Raw genomic sequence first — 24,808 nt, 5'->3', positions numbered from 1 at the left:
TATGGTGGACATTGAGGCTTCTCCACTTGCCGCACCACACTTCCATGCCTTAGAAGAAGGTTATATGAATGGGCTTATAGCTGTCACACTTTGCAGCAGAAATTTCTAAGAACAAAGGGAAGGTAGCATCCCTAAGTATGTTTTCAAATTAATTCTAACTGTCACCAAGGGTTCAGTTCCTGGCTTTATGACCTGCCTTCCCTTGGTTGGACTTCCTCAATTTGTCTCCCCTTCGGTGCACGATAAAGGGGTTCGGGCTACCCTCCTTCCCAGCAGCAAGGCCAGGCATCAGAAGCACAAGATGGACCAGGTGCATACAACTGTCCTGGGACACTGTCCCAGGAATGGAAGGTTCTGAGAAGCCTCCCCACCTGGATTTATGAGATAATGCAGAGCACACAATGAAAGGACCCAGATCTGCGAAACAGAAACCTATTAAGAGGAGGGCTGCTGGCCGGCATATCCCACGTTGTCGACGGCAACGCCATGCCAGTATGTGACCTCTCCATGCCATGTTTCTGCTCAAATGGCAGCCAGCTGCACACTGACCAGAGTTCCTTACGCTGGAGAGACAGCAGCATGGTCCTGAACAAAAAGTGTAGGTCCTGAAGTCCGGAGATGTGAGGTTTCCAGCTCCAGGACAGTGGGCAGGTGACTAACCCCTGATCTCACACTAACAAAGTGAAAGAGTATCTGCCCTTGGGAATGCTTGTAAGATTAAATACAACAATATCTGCAGATTGCCTCACAGAAGGTGGTTGTACACATTAACTGTCTTCCCTTGATCCTGTAGCACACAAAGGCAAGATTGGGATTCTGTCTAATAGGACTTCATTTGAAAAACGCCAATGGTTGTTTTATTAATAATTTTTAAAAACCATTGAGTCTTGATTGCTAAAATTAAATGGGGTTATCAGGCTCGCTCTTTGGAGATCATCTTTTCTACTCATCTCATTTTTCAGAACAGGAAACCAAGGTCCAAGTTCACACAAAGGAAATAACATTGGTCCAAAGACCGGAGGGAAAATAAGGTAATAGCAGTTACGATTCTATGACCCAGAAACCTAAGAGTCACACCACCAAGGAAAGGGAGAAAGAAATCAAGAATTTGCAGAGCCAGTGTTAATTAACTCATTTCTCTTTTGCCCTTTTCTATTGTTCTTAGAAGCAATTATGTCTCCGGTACCCTCTCTCCCACCTTCAGCCACTGCATAAAATTGTCACAGATTAAATCAAATTGTTCAGCCATTTCATTAGAGAGACTCCAGCTCTCATTCTCTGGGGGCATTTTCACTCTTCTCAAATAAAAGCCTCTTTCAGATAAGTTAACTCCTTCTTGAAGACTATAGAAAGCCACTGAGCAGACCACTAAAGGGCTGTTGAGACCTGATGGTTTTTTTGGTGGTCATATAGCCCGGACACAGCACCTTCTGTCACGGAGACTGAACTCTGACTGGCAAGACAGAACGGGTGGGAGTGCAAGCAACAGCAGAGAAGACTGTTAGCGTAGAAGAACCCAGGCCTCTAGGACTGACTCAAACTTTCTCATCTCATGACCCTGGGTACGTTTCTTTTCCTGGATGAACCTCATTTCTCCAATCTCAACAATGCAAGTTTAAAGGCTTTTTTTTTTTTCTGTAGTGGATTCCAGGAATCCCTCCAAAATAGCATGCAAATGCTTGAGAAGAATGATAGAGCTGTTGGGAAGAGAGAGGATGTTGGAATTCTCTTTGATGGATAGCAAAATCTTGTTCTGACTTGTTTTCTGGAATGGTTGACATAAAGGAGGGGAGAGATCAGACATTGTGGTGGGAGCCTGCTGCTTAGAAGCAGCTTGGGGGAGGGGATGGAGGGGAGGGAAGGCTGGCAGGGCTGGGGGCACCCTGGCATCTGGAGGGGTGGAACTTATGGGGGCGGGGTTCTGGGCACAATCACTAGGTGTTGAATGACAGTTGATGAGTCAGGCTGAAAGGACAGGAAGGCATTGTTGGGACAGTTTGCTGTGTCTGGGGACACTGGAGATGGTGGCAAATGGGCAAGGCCAGCACACATGTGGTTTCAGAGTTAGTTCTGCATGTTGAGAACTTTCCCCAGAAGCCCAAAGGCCTCGGTGATGATAGACAAGGAGGCTGAGGAACCAAGGCAGCTGGCAGGTACCAGGAAGCCCAAGGAGCAGGACAGAGGCAGGCATGTGCAGGACAGCCTGTGCATGTCACATGTGTGTTTCCCAAGGCCTGTGCGTAGCAGAGCAGCCTGTGCATGTCACACACATGCTTCCTGAGACCTGTGTAAGACACCCTGTGCGTGTCACATGTGTGCTTCCTGAGGCCTGTGCAAAGCAGCCTCTGCATGTCATACGCATGCTTCCCAAGGCCTGTGCAGAACAGCCTGTGCATGTCACACCCATGCTTCCTGAGGCCTGTGTACGACACCCTGTGCGTGTCACAGGCATGCTTCCTGAGGCCTGTGCAGAGCGGCCTCTGCATGTCACACGCATGCTTCCCGAGGCCTGTGCAGGACAGCGCCTGTGGCTACAATCCCCTCAGGGCCAGGGAGGCCTGGTTTGCCTCTTCCCTCTTGCCTGACCCGGGCCTCGGAGGCAGCACACTCCCACTACGTGGGTGGGATCCTGACTTCCTCAAGGCTCTAGCCCAGGGCCCGGCACCGGGGAGATGCCCAGGAAGTGTCTGCTGAACTGCGGGGAATGTGGGTTGGAGTCACGCCACCTGCTGTGTTTCTGTAAGCATTTTGGGGAAGCACATTTCTTGGGTACCTTCGCCAGGCTCAGGAATGGAGACAAGGCCAATGTATCCCTGCCCTCCTGGACTGCAGGTGTTGCTGTTAGAACCTGCCCAGCTGCTAGAAAGTTCCTACCAGGGTCAGAGGCCCTGGGATTTTGGGTGCGCATGTTTTTCTGGTTTGTGAGGAGGGTAGGGGCAAGCATGAAGAAAGAAGGGCCCGAGCCTCAAATTTGCAAGGGCATCCTCTTTTCTAGTCACAAAGATCAACAGGATCCAAAAAGGATGGGATTTGCGCTTCACTTTAAACATGCTGCCCGTTCTAGCCAACCCTTCTGTGGTGCACTATGAGTTTATAGCTTTTGCGAGCCTGGTCATTGTCTTCGGAATATTACTATGCATTAGCTTGAGCAGTAAGTGACAAGTTGTTCATGTAAATGTCTAAGATATACGGACTTTTAAACAACTCTCATTTTGGTGTTCCTTGTTTCTTAATATAGTAGGAGTCTCACCTCACACCACCCCTTCCCTTAAATTATGGAGCAGTGCAGACCTCCCTCAACCCGGGGAGGGCCTTGCTCTGAGAGTGTACTTCTTTCCAGAACCTGTACACATAGGGCATGGAGACAGGACTCAAGGCCAGGGTGGGAGTTGGATGGGCTGACTTTTGTGCCCTTCATAAGGTTTGATCCTGAGCTGCAGACACAGGTAGGTGGGAGATTAGTTTCCATTTGGGCTGGAGGCCGATGGGGGGACCCTGTTCCGTCTCTTCTCTTTGACCCCACAAAGCAGGCAGAGCTCTATTTATGAATGTGGCCTTCCTCTCTGTGCTTCCACCATCCAGAGGGAACGTGGCTTCCCTAAAACCCTATTCTCTGATAATCTATGTCCCTTTCCAAAATATTTGTATGAAGGTCCAGACTTGGAAATTTTATCATTAAGGACAATCAGTAAACAGAGTAATAACTAACATGTATTCTATGCCACGCCACGTTCAAAGTGGTTCCCATGCTTTATCTCAGTTAATTTTGTGACCATAACCCAACACTGTTCAATTAGTGTTCCCCAAAACAGTCAGAAAAAGGTTAATGACTTGGCCAGGCATGGAGGCTTATGCTTGTAATCCCACCACATTGGGAGGCCAAGGCAGGTAGATCACCTGAGATCAGGAGTCCAAGATCAGCCTGGCAACATGGTGAAACCCCATCTCTACTAAAAATACAAAAATTAGCTGGGTGTGGCATGTGTGCCTGTAATCCCAGCTACTTGGAAGGCTGAGGCAGGAGAATCGCTTGAACCCGGGAGGCAGGGTTGCAGTGAGCCGAGATCGTGCCATTGCACTCCAACCTAGGCGACAGAGTGAGACTGCGTCTCAAAAAAACAAAAACAGAAAAGGTTAATGACTTGCCCGAAGTCATCTAGCTTGTAAGTACACAGCCAGAATTTAAGCCTGGGTGGTTAACTTGAAAACCGTTATGGAGCAACCCAGAGATTTAGCATCAGTGGTTCAAATCTCAGTTCTACAATTACTTGCCATGTGACCTCATACAAGTCACTTACCCCTTCTGAGACTCAGTTTCCCTCACTGCACAATGGGCTTAAGCATGATGCAAGGACTTTACAATGATCAAAAGTAACAGTTGATGTGAAAGGGCTTCAGCAGCATGCAGCCAGTCCACAGAGTTGTTATGAAGTTTTCCTCTTTCATCCTTTGTTAAAGCATGCTGACAAACTCAAAAGGATGACAAAAAGTAGCAGCAGAAAGTACCTTCTCCTCATGCCTTTGGTTGTACAGACACACAACTCCTGTACTCCAAATTCCTGGCACACAGAGTTGATGGTGAGGGCCCCTGAGTGGAGATACTTTCTGGGCCACCTGAAATGCTGCTTGGTTTCTCACACAAACCCTGCTGTGGCTGCTTACCATCCTCAGCAAGGGTGCGGAGGAATGGAAACTTTTGCCACCAACAGCATTTGCTAGCAACTTCCCTCTCTGTGGTTTTTCTGTCATTCCCTTGATAAAAGAACTTGAGCTGCGCAAAAGTAACCAATCTTCACCAATCTCATCTTCACATATAAACAGCCGCCTTTCAAGAAGCAAGCTGCCAGAAAAATGATGCACGATGCTCTCTAAACTGGGTCATTCTCCACTTGGAGGGCTCAGGGCACGGTTGACTTTCCCCGTCTGTCTCCTATACCACAGGCTCTGGGCATCACCAGCGGCCCCAGGGAAAAAGAAAGAAATGGGAAACAGCATGAAATCCACCCCTGCGCCTGCCGAGAGGCCCCTGCCCAACCCGGAGGGTAAGTCTGGCTTCTCTGGTGAGATGCTTGAGTCTGTGCTACAAGAGCCTGTGGTAAAGACTGGGCGGTGGTGGATGCCGGTAACTACTTAAATGGGGCAATGGGTACCGAAGGGCTCATTATATCTGTCTCTCTAGTTTTGTTTGTGGTTCAAATACTTCATAATTAAAAGACGAAAAGAATTGGGTGCTCGGCGCACCTGAAGGGTGTCAAATCTTTGGCATTTTGAGATGGATCTCCAAGATCAGCTGGTTTAATCACTTTATTTTCCAGATAGGGAGACTGAGCCTCACAAAGGGAATGGGATCCACATCACTGGGCATTTGCTGTTAAATTTCCAATCCAGGCCCATCCAATTCTGAAACCTAGACTCCTGTTTACCAAACTCTGGCAGCCCATAATATAATATCATCCTTATACTTAGCCCCGCAAGAGCTGGATCTGTGTTACTTTTCTAAGCTAGGCACCATCCTGTGACATCTTCCTGAAAACAAAGGAAACCTTATGTCCCATTGGTGGGATTGCAAGGTGACAAGCATTCTCGGGGGAAGAGCCTAATATTGCAGGTTAATCAGTGATGACCAAAGTCAGCTTTTTGGAGAGATGTCAGGTTTGGTTAGACTCCCAAAGCTACAAAGAGTCCCTCAGCAACTGGTCAGAGGCCTGGGAGGGAACACCAGTGAACAAAGGGAAAAGGCTGAACATCAAATCCACCATGCTGTGGACTCAGCTATGCTGGCCCCTTCTAATGGCCTGACCTTTATTTCCTCAGATTCCTAGTCCATAATTCTCATATTGTGGGGTCTTGGGAAAGGGACGGTTAGGGAAGCCAGGGGGCACCTTGGAACACTTCTGCTTCCCACCTTACATGGTAGCATTTGGGGCCTGGTGTCCCATTTCCTCGCAGGGGTGACCACACATGGTTCCCAGCAGCCCCTGCAGCACCGCCCTGGGCGGAGTTCACTGGCGCAGATGGCTGCCCTGTCTGCCGAGCCTGACAGGGAAGTGGACTGAGCCAGGTTCCTGCGCTGCCTCCAGGTACTGCACATTTCATGACTTCTGTGGCTCCCTCACAAAGGAGCCTTCTCACTGCTTCCAAAATGGACAGGCCCAGCTTGTGTGGTCTGATGGCCTCCAATGCCCCCAAGCCAGCATGCCAAGACCCAGCCACCCCACACCCCTTTCAAGTCAGATGCAGAACAATCCTAGTGCTCTTATTTATCTAGTGAAGTAACTCTCCTTCTCAAGCCAAATGCAAGAGGGATAAACAAAAAGAATATTCCCCAGGACCAAGGAGGTGGAACCAGATGACAAGGTGGAACAGAGCATGTGCTCTCAGGACAGCAGCCCTCTATCTCCCATGCGACACTCAGAACAGCGTGCAACGTGCAGGGTGGCTGAGCTGCTGCTGCTGTCAGGAGAATGCCGGGCTCTTTCTCACCCTCTCCAAACTGGCTTTGGCCACAGCCTCCTCCTCTGGTCATAACCACTGCTAGAAAACTGACACCGCAGGGCCCTGAGCCCAGGCAGGCTGGGGAGGCACCCACCCACCGAACCCATCTTGGGTCGTCACCTCTCAGCCTGGGGCAGAGGGGGCAGCATGCTTGAGCGAACCTCATGAAAACATCAGTCTCCAAGGCTTGCTCATTTGCCTTCAACTTTTCAATGCAAATTGTCATGAAATAAGTTGATTTTGTTCCATTATGTGGGTGGGAGGTCACCTCTAGAACAGACATAGAGAGAGGGGTCTCCCCACCCCTCCACCCCCTGGTGAAGAGAATTCCCCTGGTCATACCCCGTTTGTGATCCAGGCAACCACATCAAGCGCTGGTGGGCTGCTTTTTCAACCCCCAGCCCTGAAACGTTCCCCCGATCATTGGTCCTAACGTTGTTTCCTCTTTTCTCTTCTACCTACTTGAGTAAGGGAGGGGAAGGCGGTGCAGTGATGCCGTGTTAAGTAGTCCCCATCTGCCTCATGCACAGGGTCAGAGTTTTTATGGAATGAGCTGCTACTCAGCTCAAGCTCCTATGGCTGCTCATCCGGTTACCCTCAAACAAGTAACCTAGGAGACGGTGCAGGTCTTGCTGGTTGCTTTAGGCCAATGTGCAATTAGAGCCAGCTCCCACATTAGCTTCAGTGCCAGAGAGGCACCACAGACCCTCCACAGACCCTGGCCGTGCACAAGGATCACCCAGAGGCCAGCCTGGACACTTTTAGACAACCATGTTTTCTGAGCTTTTGGGAGATCATTCTTCTCCCAAGCCAGGACAGTGAATGCCTTGGAACATGGCTTTACCCATCTGTTTTTTTGTTTTTTTTTTTTTGTTTTTTGTTTTGCTAAACTAAGATTTCCAGAATATTCTTGATTAGTCAATTTCTCAGGAACTAATGTCTTAAACCTACAAAAGGAAGCAGGACTTGAGGGAAATAGAGCAAGTTTCAGAGGCAGAAGGCCCTCACTGAGCTTCCAGTAATGTTCCGTGGAAGCTGTGTGACTTTAGGTGAGTCACTCGGGCTGCCCCAGAGATCTGGAACAAGTCCCTCCTCACAGCGACAGCATGATGCAGGGCAGGCACCAGCAAAGAAGGGTGTGGAAACTTTTAAAAACTCTGTTTGGGGTTACCTGACTGCACCAGGTTATATCTAAATGGCCATTCCCCAAAAGTTTTAAAGTGGTGAAACTGGTAGTTCTGTAATTTGCTTTCAAATCATCCCAAAGTGTTCATTTTCTCTACAATTCTATACATACTTCTGTACCAGACATGGGCAGTACAGGATTTTTTAATACAACCTAGGGAAGTCCCGCTGTGGTCAGGAAATGGCATATTTCCACCTTAAAATGAGCACTCTGTCTCTCTGCTGTGATCTTTTTCCCCTCTTTGTTCCTTCTCTTCTTATCACCCTGACCTGAAGAGGCACCAACAGAGGCAGCAGCACAGACCCCTTTCTGTCCGTGCAAGGGTAGAAATAATGCTGTTTACATAGTTGCCCAGTGGAAAGAAGGGGGCGGGTGGGGCTCGGGGAAGGAAGAAGGAGGTAGGGACCTCTCAAACCCAGCTTGCAGCTTCTCAGTAAGTGGTCTTCGCACCACCTGCATCAGAATCCCCTGGGAAGTAACTGAAATGCAGATTCCTGGGTCCCACCCCAGGCCCACGAATCAGAACCTGGGGATGGTGGAAGGTAGCCGCCAGCTGAATTTCCTAGGAGTTCCTGGGGACTCTGTAACCCCTAAAGCTTGCAGACCACAGACCAGCTTTTAGTCCTGCCCCTGCACTGACACACAACGAGAGATGAGAAAGAGTTTATCTCCTTAGTCTCTCTGTCCTCCTTTGTAAAACGGGAATGATTAGAGCCGCTTGGTGCTCACAGCCTCCAGACACAGTGCCCAGTGCTTTACATATGCAGACTCGATTCTCACAGCCCCACGAGGCTTCTGCCTATTATCATCTCCGTTTTGCAGTTGGAGAATCTGAGGTACAAGAAGCTTAAATGACTTGCCTTAGGCCATACAGCTCAGAGGAGACAGCTGGGATTCAAAGCCAGGTGGTCTGACTCCAGGGTCCCTCTCCCCACCTCAGTGTGTGCCTGGAAAGGACAGGGTTTCAAGAAGCCCCCATGCTCTGGAAGAGGATGGGCTCGTCTCGAATGAATGAGAATGTGCCTGGCCCCCAGATTTAATGACCCAGATGATCAAGTGCCCTAGCAAGGGGTCCCACAGACAGTGAATCCGTGTCAAATCTTGGACCAGATCCCTTTTTTCTATTTGAATCTAACCTCGCTGCTGGTACATGAGATGGTCTTAGGCAGAACTTGATCATTCAACTTTTACATAATTGTACATTGATGAACATCATAAAATATATAACTAGCCCAAGAAATCCACGATGTCACATTGCTTAGAATAGCACTCAAGTTTTTTTAAGTAAATTAATTTTTAAAAAGACATTATCAAGTAACTAGTGCTGTCAACTATGTCAAAGGAGACCTGAGTGGTTCAAACACAGCCATGCCCTGCCCTGCCCAGGGAGACCTGGTTTTGAAACCTGGCACTCAGCTTCCTAGGTGTGTGCTCTTGGGCGGTCTCTGGACCTCACTGTGCCTCTATTTCCTCATACTCAAAATAAGGTAGTTTCAATCTATCAACCTCACAGGGAGGCGTGAGGACTTCAGGGGTAACCTCGGTACCACCACAGCCCAGTGCCTGATTCCCCCCAGAGCTGTGCGCCCTGCTGCTGCTGCTGCTGCTGCTGCTGCTGCTGCTGCTGCTGCTGCTGGTGATGAGGAGGGGGAGGAAGGGAATGGTGGAATGAAAACAACTGAAGTCTGAGAAGCCCTGGGTGCCCAAGTAAAGCACATTCTGAGTCTATGCAGTCCAAAATATTCATTTTGACTATTTCTTGCTTCTGTTCTGTGCTAGCCCTGCCTATATCCCTCTAGCATCTAAGAGAGTTGAGACTGACCCTGAAAAGACTCAAGGTCTGTTTAGTTCCAATCTGTCCCCACTAACATACGGAAAAACCAAGGCTTGGGCAGAAAAGAGCTTTGTGGGCTACCGGGTCTCAAACACAGCCCTTTACATATGACTAAGAGGGCTCACAAGCCTGGTTCATGGTGACCCGCAGAACTCGGCAGACCTTCTACCAGGCTAGATGGTCCAGCTCTGTGTGATTGGTTAGTTGCATGTATAATCCTGTGTGTGTGTGTGTGTGTGTGTGTGTGTGTGTGTGTGTGTGCGCGCGTGCGTGTGTGTGTCCTGAAGATGACACTGAAAGTCAGGCCTGCTTTGACCCCTGAGGAGACCATGAGTTTAGCCATGACTCCAGGAAATGCAAAACAAGAGGCTGCAATCCCTGGGCTGTACAGCTCCCTACCCACCAGTTGCCCTGAGCTGCTTATGCTAACCCTGACAACTTACCTGGAGTCTGCCTTTGTCTCCCCTGTTAAGGGTCAAGTGTGGGCTGAGGAGAGCTTGAAGATTAAGTGCCAAGGAGAGCCGTGTGGCTCCGTGAAGGACCCTGGGCTTTGAAATCTTCACACTTTCCCCTAGATAGGTGACTAAAACTCTCCCAGCTTTGGCTTCTTCACCCTTAAATAATCACGTATTTTCTGTAGGGCTGGGCAGGGCACTGGAAGTGACAAACGACTAGTTTTATTAGACAGTTATAAGTGGGAGTGACTGAGAATGTTCTCAGCATTTAAAAAGAAATGGTCATGCAGCACCAAAGAATGACAGTTTACAAAAGGGCCCGTCCTCTCTTGACTAAGTCCCGTAAGGCCTGCCTGGGTCCCTCCCCTTTGTGGATTCGTTTCCTATTTTACGCTTTTGTACATTTTGTTCAACTTGACTCATTCTTAAGTTGAGCTATCAGCAAATATTTGGTCTTTTGAATTTCATCTTCTGTTCTCACCAAGTGGAGTTCATTTTTAGAGAGTAAGAAATTATCAAGTTTACTAGTTTGCAAATTTTAGAAAGTTATTGGCTAACACTGGTCTTGAGTTATGGTCTGGTGACCCCGCTCTCCATGAAAATAATATTAGCTTCCACTTACTAAGGCAGGCCCTAAAATGCAATGCATCCTGAATCCTTCACTCAATCCTATGAGGCAGATTTTGGCAATTTCCCTTTTTATTCACGAAGAAATCAAGCTCAGATTAGTTAAAAATAAATCTCCCCCCAAATCGCATCACTGTGTAGTGGCGGAGGTGGGATGTAAGCCAGTTCTGATTGGTTTCAAAGCCCCATTCTCTTTCCCGAAAATTCTCTCTGGGTTTCTTCTTTCATGCGCAGTGCATATGTCTTCACTTAATTTGTTTCCTTATCTTAAGTCTGCAATAATTCCACTGACTTCCTCAACTCTCCTCTTCTCTGCCTCACTCATTTATCTCTGCTTGAATTCAAACGCTGAGCTCTCCATAAAGCTAAGGAGTTCTAGGAGTAGATGATAATATGTCTCACCTTTACCAACAAACTTAAATTTCCTACATTGCATTTATTTTTCTGTAGCAACCAAAGCTCAGGGAAGACTTTGAAGGGATCCTGGCACCAGGCCTTGCTTAAAATGGCCACCCTGCCCCACAGAAGTACAAGCCAAACTGTAATACCTTCCCAGTGACTTTGTCCCGTTTGGCTAATGGTGATGATAAAGAGAGGTGAAATCTCTTGCAAAGGATCAGGCACAGGTTATCTGACCCTTAAGCAAAAGCCCAGATGTAAAGTTTCCTCAGTGATGTTTAAGTGCCATAGCTATCAAAACATCACTATTACGGAAATTCCACAGGAAACTTAACTTTGTTATTGTGAAATTGAAACTCTCCAACACTCTAAGCCTCCCTTTCCCTCATTGGAACAGTGGTTTTTATAATGGGATTTTGCTTTTGTTTTTGTTTCTGTTGGTTTTTGTTTTTAATGTTAGGAAAGACAATTGTTCTGTTCCACAGTCTTAATCTTGAATTTGATATCAAACCTCAAACCCCTCTGTAGACACACCATCTACCTCAAGGTTCTATTATTGTCACAGAGAACACACACTGTGCCTCCCCATTTCAACACGTTTTTTGCAAGGGGCTGGTTCCACAATGGCCACCTACCCAGCTGCCTCCCACAAATCAGGTTTCCTTCTGCCTGGATCTGCTTTAAAACTGTAGCTTGACAGCTGTATTTAAGGGGCATTGCAGCACAGGGACCGCTCTGCACATTCAGTAAGCCTGCTTTGAGCATCCTTTGTAAAACAGGTGTGGCACAGGCTACAGACACAGAAGACACCAGTATTCTGCCCTCCCGGAACTCACAGCCGGGGGTGGGGACAGATGGGCATTCCCCTGACAGTCACACAAATGGGAAAATGCAACCTGGGGTAACCGCTTCAGAGGAAAATCTTAGGGGCCAAGAGGAAGAATTAGTACAGCAGGAAGGCTGAGCCTCCTCTGGAGCCTCTGCAGAGGTGAGTTTAGAGTTGACAAAGGTGGGAACGGTGAAGGAGGGAAGAGCAGGGTGTGTTCCAGGCAGAGGGAACAGCCTATCCGGAGGCTCTGAGAACCAGGGTGCCTGGCAAGTTGGAGAAAGGCCCATCACATGTAGCCGAGGCAGCACAGTGCCATGTTAATAAACGGCCCATTCATATGTGGGGGCCATTAGTCCAGGAAGATAGATTTCCATCTTGAAGGTGTTTTTCAACCTCTCATTTTCCAGACTAGGAAACCCAGGCCCAAGAGGAGAAGGAGGCGTCCCACTCAGTGAGTGGCAAAGTCAGCCTCAGCTTCTGGGCAGATTTGCCAGGAAGCCAAACAAATCATACGCCTGAGACCCCCTTGCTGGTACAGCACCTTGCTGGGGTCTGTCCTTCATTTTGTATTTGCAATTGTGTATTTTTTTCTTAAAGAGGACTGCCAAATTTGCTTAAGCTTTATGCCCTGCCAAATGTGAACCTGCCCTTTGTGAGAACTTGGGACTTCTGGCTTCAAACTTAACACAACTGTAATGCTGCCTCTACTTACTGGGGTGGAGTCAAAGCTACACAGGGAAGAATCCCTTTTTTGAATTCAGCAAAGCAGAATGTGAGGGAGCTGCCCCCACAGGTTTGGGGAAGGTCTGCAGCAGGACAGGTCAGAGGTCTGGCTGGGCCAGCCCTTTTACGTCCCGACACGACTGTTTCTCAAAAGCCCTGATCCCTTTCCATATTGTAAAGCCACTAAAGATCACTCTTGGTTTCTGTCTTACACCCAGAAACTCTTGCTTTTACATGGCTTATTGTCAGGGACTCAGCTTCCCCAAATGAACAATACATTTGACTGCACTGTTCCACCGTGATTACTTGTTTCTAATTTATTTATCAATCGATAAGCATAACCTTTGCCCAAAACCTCACTCATCTTTCTCACTGATTCTAGTATTTAATCTCTCTTTAGACTTAGTCTGCCCAAGAGGCTTATGACTCGGAGGCTGCAAGACATATGAGTTGTAAGAGGCAGGATCTAGAGGTGTGTGGATCCTAGAAAGTGGCTTGTTTGGGCCCCAAAGCCCACATGCCTGAGTACTGGGATTTCTCCAGATCTTGGGGTGAGCGAACCAGGGAACAGTTCCTCCCATGACTATTTATGTATCCTGTAGAACATGAGCTCCGTGAAAGCAGCAAGAATGGGCTTGCTTTTCTCACCTATGCTGCTTACGACAGGTGCTCAGTAAGTAGTTGCCGAATGAATAAACAGGTGATGTTACCCAGAATTTTAAGTTCAAAGTCCCAGCCAGCAGGTGGAGTGATGAAAGTCATAGCAAATAATAACTGTATTTGCTGATACAGAAGACATCTTGTTATTTCCCCCAAAAATGTATCCAAATATTACCCTGCATCTAATGCATCTGAATTACATCAAATCACTAAGGATAGAAGCAGACGTATCGCTCAGTGTCAAAAAGCAAAATCACTGTCTCTCCTCTACAGTCAGGAACCAGACAGCCCTCTTTCCTTTTCAAAACTTCACCAGAATTCCTTTCAATACACTATTAGGAAAAGTACTAAGTTTTTCTTCCACCACCCCCACCCTCAACAAATGTCCCTATTAAATAGATGCCCAGCGTGGGGCCTTATATTCTGCAAGAAATAAGTATTTTGTTTAACCTCAGAGTTACTGCCTCATGGTCCTAATGGGTCCTCAGAACTCATTTTGCCTCACACTCCTTCCCCAAAAGTGTCATAGATATAACAACTCTGAGTCCCAGAGTGGACACCCGAGGCATTGGTAGTGAGAAGGGGGGTTTTTACAGCAACTTATGTGAACGTATGTGGTGTAACATACTCTCATCTCCTCTCCTAAGGACCCTGGAATGAGGTAGTATTAGTCCCATTTTAAAGATGGAGAGGGTGAGGCTAGTAGACTCGTAACAGGCGCTGAAGCCAGACCCCATGACTCATCTCACAGCCTTTGGATCCCATTTCTCAGATGAGAACATGAGGGCCAAGGCAGGCTTAAGAATAGGAGCATGTCACCTGACCCTCAGGGCTCGTACGCACACCCTGCAGAGCCATCTCTGAAGAGAGGACCTTGCTGTAAATTGGTGGTTCAAAACAAGAAAGGTATTTCCTGCTGGAAAATCTCATCTTCATACCCTCCCTCCCAAGCCTACCTTTAAGCTCCTTGTGAATAAAAAGCACCTTGCCCCCTTCCCCCTTGCCTTTGTTTCCCCAGGACTGGATAGCGACTTCCTTGCCGTGCTAAGTGACTACCCGTCTCCTGACATCAGCCCCCCGATATTCCGCCGAGGGGAGAAACTGCGTGTGATTTCTGAGTGAGTCAGCTCTCCAAAACTTGTGCAATCTTCAAAGCAGGATAAACTTGGTTTGGGAGAAAAGTATTTGATTGTTAGCTAGAGTGGTCTAGTTCCACATGAGTCCTGGTCCTATTATGAGGTGAGAAATTTGACCCATACTGCAACCTTCCTCTTTAATGTGGCCAGTGCTCTAGAACCTTCCATAGCTCCCCACTGCCTGGTAGATCAAATTTAAATTCCTTAACTTGGCTTTTGAGATCCTTTATGATCCAGCCTCTTCTCATATTCTTCTTATCTCCCACCACATGTGCAGTGTTGATGTTATGTAGGAATGAAGACCGGGAAGGCAGCCCCCAGGGTCTGGAAATCCTTCGGATGAGAAAAAACAAAAATTTGCCTTCTCTCCTCTTACCTCTGCAGTCTGATTCAATATGGGCTATAGAACATGACAGAAGTTCTAAGCCCCTTTTATTTAGATCTTCACTGATTCAGATATATGAAACTATCTTTGGCTATACTGCAGAGCATAAATCAACATAGTAAACATTTATTTTTAAAAAGCCTCCAACAGTTGGGAACATTAGCTGCTAATCCCTGAAAAGCAGCTATTTCTAGCACATGGGAGGGTTTACCAGTTGGCTTGCAATGGAGGGCTATCCACTGGACACATATCCTTTAAAAAGAAAATTTTCAGATGACGAAATATGGGTTAACGTGGCCAGTGACAGATCTTAAAAGAGGAATGTTCCAAACTGTCCTGGGTTAAATCTGATTACTCTGTTCATTCATCCTTTGGTTTTGCTATTTACCTATCTCTGTGTTCTTCTCTGTTCTTGTTCTTACAGTGAAGGGGGCTGGTGGAAAGCTATTTCTCTTAGCACTGGTCGAGAGAGTTACATCCCTGGAATATGTGTGGCCAGAGTTTACCATGGGTGAGTACATTTCTCAAATGGCAGCAATTAAGCATGATGCGTATGCTGGTGACTCATAAGGTGGAACAAAGATTCCAGCATTCATAGTGGTAAGGAAGGCACTGGGTCAAGAAGAGATAGTCCTGCTCCCAACCCAGTCAATAAGGAAAGGAGCAACCTTGGGCTAACTTATCTCTTCTGCTCTCTGGGACTCAACTTCTCCCTCAGTAAAATGAAGGAAGTTGGACCTTTCAGCTCTAACATGGTGCTCCTGGCACAGAGTGGTAAACAGCTGGGAAATGTTATGGGAGGGCACAGCACAGTGCAGAGACTAGAAGTCAGTGTGTCTAGGTTCAAATCCTGCCTCTGTCACTTACTGGCTGTGTGCCAGTGAACAAGCTTTTTATGCATCAGTTCCCTTTCCTCACCTGTCAAGTAGAGATCATAACATAGAACGACAGGGATAATAATATATGATAATATGATCAAAGTGTAGGGTTGTTAGGAGAATAAGATGTAATGATACATGTGTAGTTCTTGGAGCAATGCCAGGCATTACAGTAAGCACTCGATAAATATTAGCTCTATTCTAATCAAATACCTATCCAGAAACACACAGAATCCTTACTGCCAAAAATGCTTATGTGCCTTCCTTGAAAAATGGGTAAGATAAACAAGAGATATCTTAGAAAACTAGGCTCAACAGATAAGAAAATAAGCACCCTGCTTTCCCCTGTAGTCGTTCCAGTGAGGCCTCTGCAGCCTCCTGGGTGGCTTTGGAGCCCTGAACACCTGGGCACAAATCTTGGCTTCCTTCCTTCCATGTGAGGGTCCTGTAAAAGTCGCTTCACCTCCTGGAGTTACATTATCCTCATCTGTCAAGTGTCGGAAGCTGGAAGTTGGCAAAGAAATGCAAAGCACATTGGAAATGGAAAAGAAAGAAGGAGGCATCCATTGATAAACACTAAGTTACTTCTTCATGTCCAGAGGACTCTACATGCCACATGCTCATCTTGCAAAACAGAGATAACCACCTGAATCCTTTGAAGACTGGAATTCTGCGAGTTTAATTTTAGTATTCATGATCTTAATTGTGAATACCAGATGCCACTTCCATGCTTAGGATGATGAAGCTAAACAAAACTGAAGCAGGAGCTGCCGTGGGAGTCACGTTCTGAAAGAGATGGGAGTCACGTGACTCTCCTACATCAGCTGCTTGCCCTGGAGCCATTCATTCACTAGCAAGCATGCATCAATGCCTTCATGCTGAAGATGTGAGGCTGCAGCTGGCACGAGCTGGGGGTGGTAAGGAACCAGGAGGAGTGACATAATTATGACCCTATGAGGCTACCAATCCAACAGAGGTGATCACATCCCTTAACATATCAAATAGGAAGAGCAGGGCTGAGCACGGTAGCTCACGCCTGTAATCCCAGCACTTTGGAAGTCCGAGGCAGGTAGATGGCTTGAGGTCAAGAGTTCAAGACCAGCCCAGCCAACATGGTGAATCCCCATTTCTACTAAAAACACAAAAAGTTGCCAGACGTGGTGGTGCATGCCTGTAATCCCAGCTACTTGGGAGGCTGAGGCAGGAGAATCACTTGAACCTGGAAGGTGGAGGATGCAGTGAACCAAGGTCACGCCACTGTTCTCTAGTCTGGGTGATAGAGCAGGGATCCATTTCCAAAAAAAAAATTACATAAATAAAAGGAAGAGCAGCAGTGAAGTGAGGTGGTTATGGAATTGGATGTCCCAGAAAAATGCATTCTAATTTTAACTCTATCAACTGCTGACATGGTTTCCTGAGCAAACTACTTAATCACTGGAACCCTCAGTATTCTCATCTGTGGAAGAGAGATGATGCTTCCTGTCTCAGTGGGTTGAGGTGAGGATTAGGTTTCAGGTGCTTAGTACGGTGGGTGGCGCATTCCTGCCTTTCCTGGGGGAGGGCTTGTTCCGGATCCTAATGGCTGTCTTCCTCCTTCCCAGCTGGCTGTTTGAGGGCCTGGGCAGAGACAAGGCCGAGGAGCTGCTGCAGCTGCCAGACACAAAGGTCGGCTCCTTCATGATCAGAGAGAGTGAGACCAAGAAAGGTGAGTGGCCCCCAACTCATCTTTCCCCATCCGGGGCAGACAAGCATGTTTTGCTCCTGGCTGACTCATTACACGGCTTCATTTTCCTTCCTCCTACGTCCATGCAAATTGATCCAATGTAGTTAAGCTCCCTGCAGCCCACACGCTGCTGGGGAGGCCAGTGGGGAAGCAAGGGGACTAGAGACAGGCAGTGGGGAGCCGGCTGGGCACTGCCACGGGCCTGGCCAACATCAGGCCTGATGACTCCTGCTGGAAATTTTTCCAGCAACTGAGAACAAAACTGAACGCAGTGTGTAGGCAGCATGCTGTGCAGATAGAATGTGGCCTTTGGTATGGGCCTGGGCTGTGCTCTCAAGCTCTGTGACTGATTTGTCTGAACTCAGTTTTCTCATCTGTGAAATGGAGAGAACACCTCTCCCTTGTAAGGGTGTGGTGAGATTCAAATGTCATAGTATTTGTGTTGCTCTTGCTGCACAGACAGTCCCGATATCAGTTTCCTCTGTGCTCCGTAACTAAATCAGACAGCTCCGAGAATCACATGTGTCCTCTCACACAGTCACCATCATCACTAGCATTACAATTTCCTTGCATCATATGCATTAAGTACCACAGTAAAAACACAAATAGAGTGAGCTCTTTGTCATGATGCAAAGCAAGGGTCCCAAGTTCCAATTTTAGCCTTACAAATTACTAATTTACTGCTTCTCTCTCTCTAAGCCTCAGCTCCCTGATCTAGACCATGAGATTTACAGTAGGAGAGTACCATGTTTATCCCCAAATACTTAACAGCTAGGGTTTTCCCAGACTGAATAATAATAATAACTTTTTTAAAATTCAGAAGGTATCTTCAAGTTCTTGGCTTGCTTCTTGTACATTCAATATCAAAGAAGAGAAAACACACTATCTGAGAGTACTTCCCATGCACCTAATAAGTGCCAAAGCCACCTGGTGCTAGAGCCCTTCACCAAAATGAGCATCAGCCTTGCTTTCAGAAAGCAGGGACCACATATATATGATTTAAAAAAAATCTGCGATCAACTTTTCTCTAAAAAACCCAAATATGCTGGGGTACAGAAAGATCAATGCAAAAGCAAAACATCCTGTGCCTGTCCTAGAGGTCCCCGGAGGCAGGATGCCCCGACTCAGAAAGAAACTCCTAAGCTGGCCTGGCCAAAGGGAGGAAGAACCCAGGGTGGGTGTCGTAACTCATCTAAAAATAACGATGTCATCAGGCAGATGTGCCATTGTGCTGGGGCTGGGTGGGTGTGGCAGGCCCACCTTGGGTATGCAAAGCTCTGACAGTGTTTCACTTGCTACCCTCGGTCTGCTTACCACACTCCCAGTTCTGCTGACCTTACGGGAAGGCTCATGCTGGGTTGACTCACGGCAGGCCTAGAGCACTGTGAGGGATGTGTGAGGACAAGGGTCACACCCCAGGGTGGCATTTCCAAGCCCCATGCCTCTGGCCATATCCCATAGGGGCTCTAGGCCTCTGTTTTCCCATCTTTAAAATAATTGGGGGCAATACCTCCTATGATCTTTCTGAGAATTAATAGAGATTTCATGGCAATTGCTTAGCCCTGCCCAGCAGAGATAGCAAATAATCAATCAGCTCCCTTTCTCCTCTGTCTCTTGGGTGTTTTCTACTCCTGGAACCCCAGAGCAAGAGAGGACCCTGAAACATGGCCTACATCCAATTCTTTCATTTTGCATTTGAGGAAATCGAGGCACATGGCTGCGGTTCTACTCTTACCAACCCATATCAGGTCATTGCTCTAACGAGGCTTAAGGAGCAATAACCCGCCTTTCACGTGGTTCTTACGGATACCCAGAAAGATGACTCAGCTTCTCCAGATTTCTGAGAAGACTAAGCATAAGTCAGAGAGAGTATAGACAAAGGAAAAGGGGGCATAACTGCAAGGACCCCCTCAAATGTGTGCTGTGGCAGCATTGGTGGGACAGGGGCTGAAAGAGCAAAACAGTAGGGATCACATCTTGGAGAGTACTCGGGAAGGAGTCCAAAAACGACCATGGATCCTGGAGCTACAGGTTGCAACCAAACTACAATCATTCCATTTGGCCTCAGGATGTGGAAGCACCCCAAATGTGTTTGCCTCAAAAAGCAAAGAGGATGAGGCCCGGCATGGTAGCTCAGGCCTGTAATCCCAGCACTTTGGGAGGCCGAGGTGGGCGGATCACTTGAGTCCAGGAGTTCGAGATCAGCCTGGGCAATGTAGCAACACTGCACCTCTACAAAAAATAAAAGAATTAACTGGGCGTGGTGGCGCATGCCTGTAGTCCCAGCTACTCTGGAGGCTGAGGTGGGAGGATCCCTTGAGCCCAGGAGATGGAGGTTGCAGTGAGCTGAGATGGCACCACTGCACTCCAGTCTGGGTGACAGAGCAAGACCCAGACTCAAAAAAAAAAAAAAAAAAAAAAAAAGCAAAGAGGATGAAACCTGTGTTCCTGAAAACCTGTAAGGACCATGTGATGAACATATCTGCTTTGACACAATAATACACTTCTGCAGTCTCTAACGGGAAGCAACATCTAAACAGAGAAGGGTCTAGTGGAGGGAGGGGCTGCATCCTAGCATCACTGTTGTATCCCAAGGGTGGGCAGGTCTCCCTGCCTCAGTGGTGGTGGGCTGGTTAGCTGGGTGCCTTGGGGTGAGGACAGGTGGAGCCCACTGACTTATCCTCCACCTCCTGCAGGGTTTTACTCACTGTCGGTGAGACACAGGCAGGTAAAGCATTACCGCATTTTCCGTCTGCCCAACAACTGGTACTACATTTCCCCGAGGCTCACCTTCCAGTGCCTGGAGGACCTGGTGAACCACTATTCTGGTAAGAGACATACAATATGGAGTGATTGTGATGGTGGGACCCCTCTTAGCTAATTGCTCTGTGGCGCCATCCGTCTGGAATGCAGAGGGGTCTTGCTTACTGCCTATGCTGCCTTCATGATATGCTCTCTCGTTAATTCAGACTGTAAATTTCAGGCTGAAACAGACTGCCTGTGCATGTTGCCTTAATAAGTCAAATGCAGCTAATCTCAAATTTGCCCTCTCTCGAAGTGTACATTAAACAAGTTAGGGTGTGCCTAAATTCACAACTGCAACCAGCTTGCACATCCTTAAGTGGGCCATACATATTCAAGCCTCTGGGGCTTTGTTATAGAGTGCCACTCATTTCCCCTTTTCTGCTTGTCAGAATCCTCATTGGCCTTCAAGACCAACATGAAACGCCTCTGCGATGAAGCTATAGGAGTTAGCAGTGGCTACCTGTCTTCGCTGTGCTCAGAGCATGCCAAGGGTTTCTTTCCCAGCATTCCGATCATGCTTCCCCGTGGCCTGGTTAATTGTGTGCTAGGCTGTATTCCTCAACAGGCTCCTAAAGACTAAGAATTACATTTAATTCATTTTTGTGCCCTTCACAGACCCAGGAGAGAGGTCTGAATTCTCCCAGGCTGATAAGATGGGGAGCATCCACTGAGATAAAGCAAGCATCATGTGGTGTGGTGGCTGGAAGAGTGTAGGATACTGCCAGAGAGAGAAAGTTGAGTTATACTGTGAAAGGCCCAAATGTCAGCTCAGGAATCGGAACTTTACCCTACAGAAAAGGGAGAAATTGTGAACGGTTGGCTAAATGCTACATTTCCAAAAACCCACTCAGGAAGCTCTGTTTCTATCCCAGATCCACTCACTGTTAGCTAGGCAGCCTGAGGTTGGCTGTTTGTGTCTCACTTTCTTCATCTATGCCAGGCAGACACTAGTAGTTCCCCCTCCCAAGGACACCGTGAGGATCCACAGAGTTAGTTCATGGAAAGTGGGGAGGGTGCCTGGCCCATAATCGTGAGCTCCCATTAAATGCCAGCCACTTTTACCCAGCGGAACATTGCCATCCTCCCCACTTCCTCTGCATATTGGAGGGAGGAAAGAAAGAGGTTGCTTTTGCTTTGACAGCATCTTCCCCCTTCTGGGTTCAGGATGCTTGACCTCACACACTGGGGCAACTTTGTTGGCATTCTCTTGCATATGGGCTCTTGAACTGAGCAAGCAAAGTGCATTTCAAGGAGAAATGGGTCCACAGGGCTTTGGTTATCACAGCTGGCCCACGAGAAGCAGTGGGGCATGAGGCAAAAATGGCTGCTCAGGAGAGGCAGGTCCAAGCTCAGATTTGCACCTTGTGAGGCCTTGGGCAAGGTCAGCTACCCCTCAGAACTTGGGGTCCCCATTTATGGGAGGTGGGTGAATATGGGCTCCTAGCAGGTGATTATTAAACACAATCGTTCATGTAGTGCGTTCAGCATAGCCTGTCACATAGCAGATGCAAAATAAATGATAACACATATTACTTGTGATATCCGAAAACTTAGCAGCCAGGTAAAAACGAAAGAGGAAGGGAGTCCTGGAAACAGCCAACTTATATTGGTTATGAGAAAAGGTTGGTTGTGGTATTTGGCTTTTAATAACAACCATCGGAGGGGGTGTGGAGACCATAAGTTTTGCATAGACAAAAGCAAACATGAGAAGGATGCTGTCCTAGCAAAGCTTCTAGGGACCATGAGGCCATGAGGCTACCAGGCCAAAAATACCGAAATCTAACTGCCGCTGCTTGACCATGGGGAATATCTCACCCCAGTGCAGCACTGGCGCCTTCCCGCAGTATGTTCCTGGTCATCGAACCACTCAATGGATTACAGTCATCTGTTCACCTCTGTGAATAACTGAAAAGGGTAAAAACCGGAACTGTTTCCTATGCCCCTTGAGAATCTCCAAGTGGGAGCCACATGGCCACTTTTATCTCCACTGGATTCACTCTAAAGACACAGATGGGCCAGGCATGGTGGGTCATGCCTGTAATTCCAGCACTTTGGGAGGCTGAGGTGGGCGGATCGCCTGAGGTCAGGAGTTCGAGGCTAGTCTGACCAACATGGTGAAACCCTGTCTGCACTAAAAATACAAAATTTAGCCAGGTGTGGTGGTGGGCGCCTGTAATCCCAACTATTCGGAAGGCTGAGGCAGGGGAATCACTTGAACCCAGGAGGCAGAGGTTGCAGTGAGCTGAGATAGTGCTGCTGTACTCCAGCTTGTGTGGCAGAGCAAGACTCCATCTCACAAAAAAAAAAAAAAAAAAAAAAAAAAAAAAAGACACAGAATGAGAGGAATTGTGCACCAGGGGTTTGAATTGACATCTAGCAACAGGTTGCTTATAATTTTCATCATGATGCCTTTAGGCAAATTACTTGGCATCTTGGAAGCTCAATTTTTTTACTTACAACATGGGGATTAAAATGCAATAATTTTCACAGGATTGCCACTAGTCCAGTTAAAAAAAAAAGATGCATGTGAAAAATGTGGCACCTAAAGTATACCATGCATGGTGGTTACTGAGAGAACAGAGTGCATGGGGCATACATGAATTCTAAAATATGGCTGGGAAAATCAAGGGCTGGGGACCTTGAGGGTCTAGGAACCCTTCAATATAGAGCTGTTGGACCCTAAAGGTGCAGAGGAGTGTGCATTCTGATGAGCCATGTAGACAGAGGTGAATTAGACCAGGGGGTCTGAACCCAAGAGACAGCTGGAGGATGTCTTTCTTCTTCATTTAAGAGGCAATGAGTTGCTTTTAGAATGAGTCAATAAGATTGATTTTGGTCACATTTCTACGGCCCTGAGTAAGTTACTTCATCTCGGGATGCTCAGTTTTTCCCTCCCCAAAATGGGTATAAAAACACTGACAGCCGGGTGTGGTGGCTCACACCTGTAATCCCAGCACTTTGGGAGGCTGAGGTGGGTGGATCATGAGGTCAGGAGATTGAGACCATCCTGGCCAACATGGTGAAACTCCATCTCTACTAAAAATACAAAAAATTAGCCAGGTGTGGTGGCATGCAACTGTAATCCCAGCTACTCGGGAGTCTGAGGCAAGAGAATCACTTGAACCTGGGAGGCAGAGGTTGCAATGAGCCAAGATCACACCACTGCACTCCAGCCTGGAGACAGAGCAAGACTCCGTCTAAAAAAAAAAAAAAAAAAAAAAACTGACCACAAGCTGATCAAGGCCTCAATGAGATCCAGGGTACGAGGCTAGCTCAGTGCTGGGCTCATGTTATGTGCTTATGAGTGGTGGTTCTTTTGCTCTTTGTCAAAATGTATTTTTCACCCTGAGTATTAACCTGTCTAAGGAAGGACACTCACGGAGTGTCCCCTGCCTGTGCTGCACACTGCAGCTGATCTCTCCAGCCTTTGCATCTGACTTCATCTTCCTCGCCTCATATCCTGGGAGGTCATTTCAATTTCCAACCCATGACAGGTCATTATTTCAGATTCCCACCCGATTAAATCTCCCTCTAAATTCATGGTCTCACCTCCCATTTCTCCAAGGGCACCTGTGTGGGTGGACATTTGAGTTCACAGTTGAAGTCGGACTGAAAACCATGAAACGAGGTCTTCCTGGCTTGCCCGCCCTGTGACAGACTGAGTGTGCTTCTTCTGCTACAAATTCCTTTTGTTCTTTGGCAAGGATGCCCCAGAGAGCACTCCATAAACCCGATGGGAAGTGGGGCCTGTCAGAGGTGTGACGTGCTGTCGAAAACCTGGTGGTGGATTGGCTCTGAGGCCAGGGGTGGCTTAGCCCTGCCGGAGGCCAGTGGCACCTCACCCCCTTGACCACATCATCTCCCCCCAGGGCACAGGAGAAGCACTGGGGTTTTCAGCCTGAGTAAGACTGTGCAGAATTTCCTCAATCTCTAAGATGGCTGAGTACAGCAGAATCAAGTCTTTCTCATGATAACATGGGCTAGGGAGAAGCCTTCCAAGAGACGGAAGCTACATCGTAATGTGCCTGGAAAGATGGGGGATCCTGAGAGTCAGACATTTTATACAGAGATTTTCATGCAAGAGAAAAAAGAAACGGGTTTATTTAACTTTTATTCTTTTTGTGCGTGAGCTTCTAGAGTGAAAGAGAGATTGTCTTCATTCTTTGTCTGCATTCTCTTTGCCCTCTTTATCTTTGTTTTCTCTTCCCTCCCTTCCTGTGTCTTCTACTTTTTGTGCTATTTTCACCTCCTCCTCTTCCTCCTTCTCCCTCTCACTTTTGCTTTTCCTCCTCGCCCTCTTTCATTCCTCCTCTGCTCCCTCCCTCCTTTCCTTCCTTCTTTCATTGTTTCTTTTATCTTTCTTCCTAGAGATCTATTTAGTCCACCTGTTCCATTGTAAATGCACAACTGGGGGGATCAGCGCTGTATGCAGCCCCATTCTCACACCCTGTGAGGTTAATGGATTGGGCATTTGCGGGAAACCCTGGAAGGCTGCGGCTTCTGCAGGCACTCACTTGTTGCTTCATTTCTTTCATTCTGCAGTTGAAGAAAGGAAAGCTCAGAGACGTTCTTGATAATTTACTATCGGGGTAAAGCTAAAATTCAAACCCAAGCTTGGTTGATACTGGATCTTAAACCTCTCTCTCTGCCCATGCCTGGCTAAGTGCAGAGTA

At 47.4% G+C, this 24,808-nt stretch overlaps 2 protein-coding genes, 1 long non-coding RNA gene and 1 other non-coding gene across 20 annotated transcripts in view, besides 1 other annotated feature; 2 read left to right on the top strand and 2 right to left on the bottom strand.

Annotated features, from left to right (window-relative positions):
- TG (thyroglobulin) overlaps window positions 1-24,808 on the bottom strand; it is a 267,942-nt gene that overhangs the window by 69,758 nt on the left and 173,376 nt on the right. The gene's annotated exons all lie outside the window — the stretch shown is intronic.
- SLA (Src like adaptor) overlaps window positions 1-24,808 on the top strand; it is a 65,875-nt gene that overhangs the window by 37,461 nt on the left and 3,606 nt on the right. For 2 of the 9 annotated variants that reach the window (NM_001045557.3, NM_001045556.3), the window contains 5 exons: window positions 4,942-5,042; window positions 14,227-14,326; window positions 15,154-15,240; window positions 17,209-17,312; window positions 20,027-20,158. In NM_001045557.3, coding sequence (NP_001039022.2) covers window positions 4,942-5,042; window positions 14,227-14,326; window positions 15,154-15,240; window positions 17,209-17,312; window positions 20,027-20,158 — 524 coding nt within the window. The other 7 variants (NM_001282965.2, XM_047422110.1, XM_047422107.1 and 4 more) reach the window with 6 other exon arrangements.
- PTCSC1 (papillary thyroid carcinoma susceptibility candidate 1) lies at window positions 7,375-10,183 on the bottom strand. The gene has a single exon (NR_146773.1). It is a non-coding gene; the product is annotated as a papillary thyroid carcinoma susceptibility candidate 1 (long non-coding RNA).
- Window positions 14,931-16,130: an enhancer, noted in NCBI's record as "BRD4-independent group 4 enhancer chr8:134061257-134062456 (GRCh37/hg19 assembly coordinates)". NCBI's record gives its function as "activates an origin of replication core promoter dependent on BRD2, P300/CBP, MED14 and CDK7 cofactors, and independent of BRD4, by STARR-seq in HCT116 cells {active_cell/tissue: HCT116}" and the evidence as "EXISTENCE:reporter gene assay evidence [ECO:0000049][PMID:35650434]".
- On the top strand, window positions 18,561-18,661 carry MIR7848 (microRNA 7848). Its single transcript, NR_107002.1, has one exon. It is a non-coding gene; the product is annotated as a microRNA 7848 (primary transcript).

This window comes from Homo sapiens, chromosome 8, assembly GCF_000001405.40.
Source record: "Homo sapiens chromosome 8, GRCh38.p14 Primary Assembly".
NCBI lineage: Eukaryota > Metazoa > Chordata > Mammalia > Primates > Hominidae > Homo > Homo sapiens.
The sequence above is the reverse complement of the archived record's forward strand: the minus strand, read 5'-3'. Positions and strand labels throughout refer to the sequence as shown.